Source organism: Homo sapiens, chromosome 11, assembly GCF_000001405.40.
Source record: "Homo sapiens chromosome 11, GRCh38.p14 Primary Assembly".
Taxonomy (NCBI): domain Eukaryota; kingdom Metazoa; phylum Chordata; class Mammalia; order Primates; family Hominidae; genus Homo; species Homo sapiens.
The window spans coordinates 44,416,679-44,427,894 of record NC_000011.10 but is presented as its reverse complement, the minus strand read 5'-3'; the positions used below and the strand labels follow the sequence as shown (position 1 = coordinate 44,427,894).

At 48.9% G+C, this 11,216-nt stretch overlaps 1 annotated feature.

Annotated features, from left to right (window-relative positions):
* Window positions 214-1,144: an enhancer, noted in NCBI's record as "H3K4me1 hESC enhancer chr11:44448301-44449231 (GRCh37/hg19 assembly coordinates)". NCBI's record gives its function as "activates a minimal SCP1, AML or CMV promoter by ChIP-STARR-seq in naive H9 embryonic stem cells {active_cell/tissue: H9 hESC(naive)}" and the evidence as "EXISTENCE:reporter gene assay evidence [ECO:0000049][PMID:30033119]".

Genomic DNA, 11,216 nt, shown 5'->3' with positions numbered 1-11,216 from the left:
TTCCTGCTTCCCATTGTCACTCTATGCCCATTGACCTGTCATTTTTCTCTTTCCATCATTCTTGACCCCCTGGGGGTCTTGAGTGCAGCAATCAGACATGGGAGGTGACAGGGAAATTTAGGCTGGAAAAAAGGAGGGTTGGAGGAAACGTGGTCCCCGTATTTCCATACCTGTCTTGGGGAGCAGAGATTAGACTCTTGTGTGAGGCCGTTGGAGGGCAGAAAGAGGAAGAGTGAGGTGGGATTAGGGAGAGGCAGAGCTGCCTCACGGTGCTCTATGCTGCCCCCTAGGGAAGGGTCCTCTCCAGGGCAAGGTGAGGAGAGCATTTGGGCTCCACGTTTTTGAAGAACTTCGCGCACTGGAAAGGCATTGGGACAGTTGAATACTGGGAGTCTTTTTACCTCAAAGATTCTTTTTGGTATGAAGAAAAAAAAAGTCGCTAAAAAAGCAACAGAAAATCTACCGCTGCTACCTGGTTTCCCATTAGTCCTTGGCTAAATTAGCTCGGAAGTCTTTTCTTGAAACTTCCTTGGCTGCTTTTAGCAAATCAAGGCCAGAAAGCCCTCCAAGACCGCTTTCTCCAAGCTCCTGAAGGTCCAGGGTACAGTTTTGTTATGTCTGTCCACAGGCCCCAGCGTGGAGTCAGACACCTGGTGGACACTAAATCCACATCCGAAAGCCGAACCGTAGTCTACGGGCAAGCAGGACCCAGCCAGGGGCAGTGACCTGCCACCCTCAAACCGACAGAGGGCTCAGCCCGAGGACGGAGCCCAGGCTCCAGCCCCTGACCACAGCCCTTTCCCCAGCCTTGTGTTCTGCTGTCTTCCCGGCAACAACCCATCCACAGATTTCACATGTGTGAAATCTGCAAAGAATAAATGTGAAGCTCAGAAAGCGAACAAGGCCTTATTGGAGACAGACTCTCTTTCTAGGTTCAAGCGAAAGCTGCCCAAAGCCAGGCTGGACAGACAGAGGGGGCAGCCATCGTGTCTCCAGTAGGAAACTTATACGGATCCCAAGCATCAGATGAGAGGCAGAAGAAAGACGCCTCAAACAAAGAACACATATCCGATGCCACACACACGTGTTCTGAGGAGACGAAATTCTTGGTATTTCATTAGACAGGCTGGGAGCCGAGAAGGGAACTTTCAGTCACTGCATCTTCTGGGGGTCACAATGTCTCTCTTTTCTTTTTTGATCTAAAAAAGAAAAAAAAAGTAAGGAAGGAAAAAAGGAGGGGTGAGGAGAAGGGGAAGAAAAGAGGAGTAAGCCCCCTCACTATAATTGAATTACTGAGCTGCCCTCTGGGGCTGAGTCTGGAATCCAAGAGGCCTTTGTGTAATAGCGAGAGGAACTGGGACAGAGGCAGAGATTTCAAAAGGGAAGAGGAAGAGCCAGGGCAGTCAGGAAGTGAATAGGGATGGAATGGGTTGAGGAAGGGAAGGGGGAGCTGCAGAGATTGAAAGCTGGAGACCCGTCTTGCTCCAGGCCCTGCCCTGACCGAGGGTGGCTGCCCTCTCCCTAGAGTCCCAGGTGGACAGGGGTGCGAGGCAGGCTGCACAAACAGAAAGGTCTCAGCAGGGGTGAAGCGGGCAAGGATGGAAGGAATTCACATGGCTCCCCAGCACCTACCATGTTCCGGGCTTCGAGCTAGGATCTGGGATCATAATGGAGGGATCATTTACCCATGCGGTGTTGGTGGTGACAAACAGCATGTGCTGAGTGCTCGCTGGCACCAGCTGGGCTCTTTCAGGTGCATTGTCTCAGTGGATCCTCAGAACAACACACTGAGACAGGTACCACGATATCACCCACTTTACAAATGAGGACATCCAGGATGTTAGGTGATTTGTCTAAAGTCACAGTGAGTGAGTGGCAGAGCCGGGACTCACATGTAGATTACACCATTCATGGCCAGGATCTTCACCACCATTCTCATTCTCTGCCTTTTTTAAAGACAGTATTCCTGTATCGCCCAGGCTGGAGTGCAGTGGAGCAATCATAGCTTACTGCAGCCTCAAACTCCTGGGCTGTAGGCATCCTCCTGCCCCAGCCTCCTAAAGTGCTAGGATTACAGGCGTGAACCACCATCCCAGGCCTTAACCACCACTCTCTTCATCAACTTATTTCACTTTTATAACAGTCTTGCCAAGTAGGGATGATTCCCAGGTGGGGAAATTGAGGCAAAGACAGATTCAATAATTTGCCAATGTTCTCACAGAGTGTAACAAGCTGAGCTGGGATTTGAACCTGTGTGTCTGGCTCTAGAGCCCAAGAACCCTCCATCTCACCTGCTGGGGTGGGGTGGAGTATATACCCCATAGCCCATGTCCTGACCACATGAGTGTCCCCATCTAGCTCCTGCTGAGCCAGACAGCAAGCAGTTCAAAGAAAGTGGGCCAAAGCCACCTGTTGGCAGGAGAAGAAGGGGTTAAATGGGGCCCTGGGGTGCACCCTAGGGTGTCATTGCTGACTTGAATGCCCTTAAATTCTCACCCACCCACCAAGCCCCACCCACCAAGCCCCACCCACCAAGCCAGCACCTTGGTGCCCAGGTGGGGTTGAGGTCTGTATTTTTCTTTAACTTTTTAATATAATTTACCATTTTTATCATGTTTAGTGTATGGTTCAATGGTAATAAATACATTTTTATATTTTTCCCTTCATGTCCTCTACCCCCAAGGCCTGTATTGTTGGAACAAAAAGGTAGAAATGTATCTTATAAAGAAGAACTCTTGTCACTATTATGTTGAAAATAACAACTTTTAAGCTTTCCTACGTCACGCTAACAGAACCGGATGGCCTGGGGCAGGGTTTCTCAACCTCCGCTCTATTCACATTTTGGGCTGGATGTTGCTTTGTTGTGGGTGCCTTCTTGTGAATTCCAGGATGTTTAGTCACCTCTCTTGCCCTCTACCTACTAGATGCCAGTAGTACCATTCCCTTCTCTTCCATACCAGGTATGAAAATCAAAAATGTCTCCAGCCATGGCCAAGTGTGCCCAGGATAGGTAAGGAAAGGGCAGATTGTCCTGGCTTGAGAATCACTGGCCTGGAGGATGAAACCCAAACTCTGGCTACTGCTCGCTCTCCTGCCTCCTCTCCCGGCAACCCACTCAACATGCCCTAAGTTCCAACCAAACCAAATGCTTTCTATGCCCAAACACACCTTGCTCCGGGGTGCCTCGGGGCTTTTGCACATGCTGTATACATGTCGGGAATGCCCTTTCAACTCCTATGCATCTGTAAAGACCCAACTCTGATTTGCCTGCCCCTGTGAAGCCCTCCCAGCCTTCACTTTATCCGCACTCCAAACCCCATACTGGGTTGTGATCCCTTCCACTATCATCCTATAACGCTTAGAACATTCCCCCAGTGCAGTACTTTTCCAACTTTGTCTCTCCATGTCAGTCTTGATCCCTTGGCTCCAGCTCCCTGAGGGCAGGGAGTAAAGAATACCACATACCTGATATGTAGTAGGTGCCCAACAAATGTTTGTTGAATGAATACATGTATTATGTTCCTTTCAAACAACCTTACCTAGTAACAAAAGCAGACACCTACCTGGTGAACAAGGCAGACTCTACGCTTGCCATTATAGAGTTCAGAGCCTAATGCAAGCAGTCATTATACAATTGATGAACTGACTGATTAACTCACAACACAGTCGATGAACTGACTGATTGCAGGTATTTCTGATGAAGGCTATGACAATATCTTAGAAGACATGGTGGCTGTGTCTAACAGAGGGGCCCTAAAGTACTTGAGGGTGGTCAGACATGCCCTCCCCAAGAAAGTTACATTTAAGAAGAAGACTAAAAGGTGAGTAGATATTGACCAGATGGAGAGAAGGAAGGGTGTCCCAGACTGATGGAACTGAACACGCAAAGGCCATGAGGTAAGAACGAGAACGAGCAAGACCGAGTGATGAACCGGAAGCCTGGCGTGGCAGAAGCATGGTGAGTGAGGCGGGGGGAGGGGGTGACCTTGCTGGTAAAGCATTTGGACATGATTCTAGTGCAGACAGGGGAGCCACGAAGGGTTGCTGCACATTCTGTTTCTGTTTCCCCAGCTGCTGGATGTGCTGTTAGTGGGTTCTCCCAGTAGCCCTATCCCCATTTCCCCAGGCAGCGACTCCCCTGAACTTTCCCCACTCCACTCCCACACACAGAGCTGATCCTCTAAGAATGGCCTGCTTTGGGAAAAGGGAGGATTTGTAAAGGCATGAGGGCACTGAGCAGGTGAGAAAGCAGGGGTGGGTGTTCAGTCAGTACAGGGCTTGCTTCTTGCTTAAACTTTGCCTGAAGTGACCATGATGGCGCTCATCACTCAGGGTCTGGAAGGTGGACAGAGGATGCCATGCCTGTGGGGAGCAGGGGATTCAGAGCCCAGTGGCCCAAGCAAATAGGAGGGGAAGGACGGGCCTGAGAGACAGGCCGGGCCACCGTCTTCACTCAGAGACAGGGAAACAATCAATATGACCAGCATGGACCTGACTCCATGTCAGGTGCTGAGACTTTCCCTGTGTTGTGTCATGAATGAAAAGATTTATAGTCCCCATTGTGTGGATGAGGAAACAGAGATCGGAGAAGGTCAGTGTTTTGCCCACCGTCACACAGTTGAAAGTGGCAGGCATGGGAAATGAACTCGGGCTAGTGAGAGTTCACAGCCTGCCTGTGCCTCCTGAGGTGAAACTGAGGCTCAGAGAAGGAGAGGGACACACCCGAGGTTCCAAAGACATGCCCAGCCAAAAATTGCAGTGGTTGACGTTTACTGAATATCCACTACGTAATCACAACACCTCAGTGAAATACACATCCTACTGACGTGCCCCTTTTTCAGATAAGAAAACTGAGATTAGAAAGCTAGGAAGCAGAGCCTGGCACAATGGTTCACACCTGTAATCCCAACACTTTAGGAAGCTAAGGCAGGAAGATCACTTGAGCCCAGGAATTCAAGACCAGCTTGGGCAACATAGCAAGACCCAGTTTCTACAAACAAAAAACTAAAATTTAGCCAAGTGTGGTGCTGTGTGCCTATAGCCCCAGCTACTTAGGAGACTGAGGCAGGGGGATCCCTTGAGTCCAGGAGGTCAAGGCTACAGTGAGCCTCAATCACACTACTGCACTCCAGCCTGGGCAACAGAGCAAGACCTTGTCTCACAAAAGACATGAAAAGAAAAAAGAAAGAGAGAAAGCTAGGGACCAGGCACAGTGGCTCACACCTGTAATCCTAGCACTTTGGGAGGCCAAGGTGGGTGAATCGCTTGAGCCCAGGAGTTTGAGACCAGCCTGGGCAACATGGTGAAACACTGTCTCTACAAAAACGACAAAAAAATTAGCTGGGTGTGGTGACACACACCTGTGGTCCCATATACTCAGGATGCTGAGGCAGGAGAATCACCTGAGTCCGAGGAGGCCAAGGCTGCAGTAAGCCAAGATCATGCTACCACACTCCAGCATGGGCAAGTGTCTCAAAAAAGAAAAGAGGGAGGGGAGAGAGAAAGCTAGGAAACAGCAGAGCCAGGATTTGAACCCGGACAGCCTGACTCCAAACCTATGATCTTCACCATTACATACTAAACCCCCCTCAGGGAGAGCTGGGACTAAACCCTCCTCCTCCCTTTTTGACATCCAAGATCAATTCACAAAGACAGCAAAGCCTGTCCTCCCATGATAAGAGTGGAGACTTAGAGACAACCTAGAGAGGCAAGACACTTCCTGAAATTCATACTACAGCATCAGTGACTACTCTGGGATCCTTTTCTCAGAGGATGTTTCTCAGGGTGTTATGGGCAGGGGGAGGAGGGAAGCATGGCTGTGCCTGCAGAGGAATTTGTGGAACAAACAAAACTAAATTGGTTGGAAGCAGGTCTCGGCCATCTGGAAGGCAGGTCCACGGGTGGCAGCAATACAGGTGCCCTCCTGGGACTCCCAGTGGCACTTTTGGAAGATGGTGTCCCATCTCATCCATCCTTCCATTCAGCTCCTACTACATCTGGGCACTGGGAATACAGCAGTGAGCAGAACACTAATATTCTAGTGGGAAAAAACAGATTAAAAGTAAACACTTGGGGAAGAAGTTCTAGAGAATGCAATAAACCAGGGACTGGGTTGGAGCTGACAGGTCCCCTTAGCCAGTGAGTGGCAGTCCATTTAGGCTTGTGGTGCCTCTCTGATGTCTCAGGCTCTGTGCCAATCATGGGGACACACAGACAAGCTCTACTTGTCCCTGCCTTCACAGAGCTCCCAGTTGCTCACGGTCCAGCGAGGAGACAAATGTGTGTCTATTACAAGCCCAGCTCAGCTCCCTGTAGAAACAAACAAAATGGCCTCGTATGTGTCATTAAAGCTCCCAGCCGGTGGCTATTTTAAGTCCCCGTAATCACTTGAAGTGACTAACACTAATTAAAGTTTTACGAGAAATGAGAAAATTCCTCCGCAGCCCCTCCACAGTGGCTCCAAACCACCTCAGAGTCACTTTATTAACTCCCCCAGTCTGGAAGCAAGCATGTCTGGCATGATGGGGATTTATTTTTCCATTGGGTTGCAGCCCCATGCTGGCTGCTCTCTAATAGCCAGGCTGCTGGCTTTGCTGTCACAGATGAGCCCCTCCCTGGGAGCCAGCTGCTAAGGCCATTCCCCAAGCTGGAAGGGCTGTGGCCTTTTCAGCTCTGAGGGATGAGGGCCACCTGGCTCTCTAGGTAGGCGCACCTCGCCAGATGTGCCTTGTCATGTACACACACTGGATCATCCAAGTGATGCCACTAGCTCCCCCCTGCACACCCATCCATATCTCTGCCTCCTTTCCTTCCCCAGTCCCTTACACATTGTGTCTCATGCACAAGCTCACTGATCACCCCTAAAGATGGATTTGAGCACCCACTGTGTTCTTTACAAAATGCTGAGGATACAGCAGAATCAGGCCCAGGACAGCCTTGGGGCTTTAGACCCAATCATCATGTTACAAGGTAAAACAACTTCAGTGGTAAAGAAATGCATGAGCAATGCATACATTTAGTTGACACCCGGCATGGGTAGTTTGTAAAGTACTTTCACTTCTCATCTCCTACTTCATCACCAGAAAAGCTCTCTAAGGGAGAGGAGGGAGTAATTTAGTTCAATGAAGAAATCACAGAAGGCTCTGGGGAGGAGGTGGTTTGAGCTGAGGATACAAGATGTGGAAGTGTTTCACTGGCAGATGGTGATGGTTGACATTTATTAAGCATTTATCATGAGCCAGGCATAGTGCTAAGCACTGTAATGCATCCTCTCATTTCCTTCTTATAATGATCCTAGGAACAATATGAGATCCCTCTCCCCATTTTAGAAAAGGGAAAACTGAGGCAGGGAGAGTTTAAGTAGCTTGCCTGAAGTCACACCGCTGAAAGCAGGGAACGGGGAGTACAGCACTCTTAACTTGGACACTGTACTGCCTCCACTGGAGTAAGGGGAAGGGCTTACAAGGACAAATCCTTTGAGTTTCTTCCCACCCAGCTTTGCGTTCAATGATGTCATGTCAGTAGATTGAAATTGGCCCACACCACAGAAATTGACGTATGCTACAACTCAGGGATTCTTTAGTCTTTATTTTTTCTGGATTGTCAGTTTACCAGCACACAACTTACAGAGGAAATAGAGTTGAGAGAAGGCCTGGGGGCCTGAGAACCCATGGTCATAAACTGGAACACTGAGTTCTGGGAAGAATGCAGTTGAAGGTGAAACTGAAAAGACACCAAGGGACAAGGCAAAGAAGCTTGGGCTTTTTCCCAAAGGCACTGGAGAGCCATAGACGGTTGTTGAGCAGGGGAGGGATACGATCAGATTTGTGCTTCACAAGGGCTACTCTGAGGATGGATAGAGGTGGAGAGCTGTTGAGAGAAAAGTCTGAATAGAAGACATATCTAAAGATCAGCTTCTACCTTTTGTAAGGCATTGTGGCTTCTATAAGAAGTCCAACTCCTCTCCCTGAGAGAAAAGGTTGTCAACTCATGAGAAAAGCCCATGGCATCACATCAGATCCAGAAGGTTCTTAGGCATCTATCTCCCCATGGCCATTGGAAGCAGGTTCCTGCCTTTCCAATTCTAGTTGTTCCTGGAAAGACTGAGTCTCAGGTGGAGCATCCCAAGCCCCTCCTCAGAGCATCACCATCACAATGGCTGCCAACCCTTTCTTCATGCTTTCCCCTCTATCCATGCAGCCTGAGAGATCACAGAAACCAGGGTCTGGCAGGGTAGAGCCCACCCCTCATCCATCCTCATAACCCCTAGCACATAGTAATAACTCTAAGGATGGACGGATAGATGGATGGATGGATGGATGGATGGATGGATGGATGGACAGACAAATGGATGGATGGATGCAAGAAGGAAGAAAGAAATGAGCAAGAGGATTGGCTTCCTGTCCCTGTGAAGCCCCTAGGAAGGGCAGGAGAGAGGAGAAGGAAAGGCAAGTGGTCATGCAGGAGGCTGAGACGCTTGACAGAGCCAAGTTGATTGATGTCCAGGGGACTAGTGGAGAAAAACATTAGAGAAGAGAGACTCTGATGAACGCAGCCTTCCAGGGGACCACAAGGAGCAGGTTTATAAGCCTGTGTCTCATTGTGTCAGCTCATAATCCCACTTGGTTTCTTCTCTGTCTTGAGGTTGGCATAACCTGTAGAGAGGAATGTCCTTGTCATACTGTGGAGACATGTGGCCTTTTCTGGCAGGCAAGTGGGTTGGCCCCAGGATGTGCTTAGCATGGCCTGGTTAACTACTGCGTTGACCTTTCCAGTGTCTCCCTGTCAGAGCCATCTACCCTCACTCATGCGCTCCTTCCTCAACGCACACAAAGAGCAAAAAGATGAGGTCTTCCTGGGCTCTTCAACTAGGACAGTAAACCCTCCTGACATCCCAGAACTTCGTAAATTCCTCAATAACTTCTCTGGGACTCAGTTTCTCAGCTGTGAAATTGACAGGATCATAGATTCCCCCTCCTCTCCCTTAGAGAGCTGTTCTGATGATGAAGTAGATGAAACGTGAAAGCACTCTACAAACTACCCACGCCTGGTGTTAATATAATTGCTGTGAGTCCCTCTCCTCCTGGCCTCTGAAGTCTTTTGTTGGGTGAAGAAAAGGACTGAGAGGGAAGGAGGGAGACATAAAGGCGATCGGGGAACATCCAACCACCAGCCACAGAAATCACCACCCTCTTCCCCGCGGAGCCCAGCATAAAAACATTCTAGCCCTCTCCACATAGCAACAAGGGCAATGACTCAATAACAGAAATTAACACAGGCTTGCCTTGCTCTCAGGCTCAGGCAGTTTCCCTAAACCACTTGGTAACAGCTGTGGTGATCAACAGCCTTTGACCTTGAGGCTTCCTTGTTCACCACCTCCCGGATCGGAAATCCAATAGAAGTCACAGTCCCCATTGACGGAGCACTTTCTATGTGCCAGCCACCATGCTTTACAAATCTATCTCATATAAACGCTCCTTCTTTCCTTGACTTTGAAGACCTGACTTTTTTTCTTGCTGATTCTTGGCTTAAATAGCTCCTTCTCAGAGATGCCCTGACCACTCTCTTTCCAGCCACAGTGCCTCTTGCTTTTCTTCAAATGCGCCAAGCACGCTTCTGCCTTGGGGTTTCTCGCCCCGGAATGCTTGCCTGTCCCAGAGACCCATAGGGCTGCAATCAGCTGCTATTTTACCAAAGGCCTCCCCAGGCCTCCTGTATAATACAGCAGCCTTGTTCTTGAAAGCCTTATCTTGTGTTATTTTCTTCATTGCACTTCTCACTACCTGACATTTTTTATACATTTATTTGTTCATATTAGTTCATATGTCTCTTGCTCCAAGCTCCAAGGATGCATGGACTTTGTCCCCTTTTTCATTTTGTTCACAGTATTTGTATGCCTGTACTTAGCCTGTGCCTGGCTCATCCCAAGCTTAGTAAATATGCACTGAATGAGTCAATGAATGAATGAGCAGACTCAGGAACAAGCGACCAGACAAGACCAGGCTGGTGGATGATGCAGGAAAATGCTAAGAGTAGGGGCTGTGCCACTGTGCAGAGCCAGAGGGCAGGGCTACAGAAGCAGGTGGGACCCAGAGAAAGAGGATGCTGCAAAATTGCAGCCCGTAAGTCAGAATCTGCCCTATCCTTCTAGGTCTTCCTCCTCCCATGCTTGGCAGTTACCTGATGATATGGTTTGTATCTGTGTCCCCGCCCAAATCTCATGTCAAATTGTTATCCCCAGTGTTGGAGGTGGGGCCTGGTGGGAGCTGATTGGATCAGGGGTGGTCTCTCATGAATAGTTTTGCACCATCCCCTCTTGGTACTGTCCTTGTGATAGTGAATTTTCATGAGATCTCATTGTTTAAAACATGTGGCACCTCTCCCCACTCTCTCGGTACTGCTCCTACCATGTAAGACACCTGCTTCCGCTTGGCCTCCCACTATGAGTAAAAGCTCCCTGAGGCCTCTCCAGAAGCAAATGCTGCCATGCTTCCTGCACAGCCTACAGAACCATGAGCCAATGCAACCTCTTTTCTTATAAATTACCCAGTCTCAGGTATTTCTTTATATATTTCTATATATATATATATGCAAGAACAGACTAATACACCTGATGAGCAGCTCCTTCTTGAGAAGGTTTGGGGGGAACTTAAAAAGCCAGAGATGTAGGAAAACCACTGGGACATCCAATTATGAGGAATGTCCAGGCTTCAGGGCTCCCCACCCAGGCCTAGACATTTGTCATCATTCTCTTAGTCCCAGCCAATCTCTAGAACTACAAGAGAAGGTCTCCCAGCAGGAGAAGGAAATGCCAGCCAATCAGGGGTTTGCAAACCAGGCTCAGTATCAAGGAATTCAACCAGAGAGCTGTAGTTCCTTATTCACATGGTTATGATCAACCCAGAGCACCAAAATGCTGAATGGCATGCCAGCTGGACTACTGACATGCATGAGTGCTGTCTTAGTCAGCACTCTTCAGCTCTTCAAAGATGCAGGTGCTCCCCTGACAAATCTATTTCACAAGGCATTGGTCAAGACTATATCTTCTGGACCTTCCCAGCTGGGATGAGTAGGTCAAAAGTGACTAATCCACTCCACCATCCCCATCTCCCCAAGCCTTTGGATCCCCTCCTCTACATTAAGCTAAGGGAGATCAGGCATTTCCAGCTCACTCACAGTGGGCCATCTTTTAATCCATAGTTCAGTTAATCAAGCAA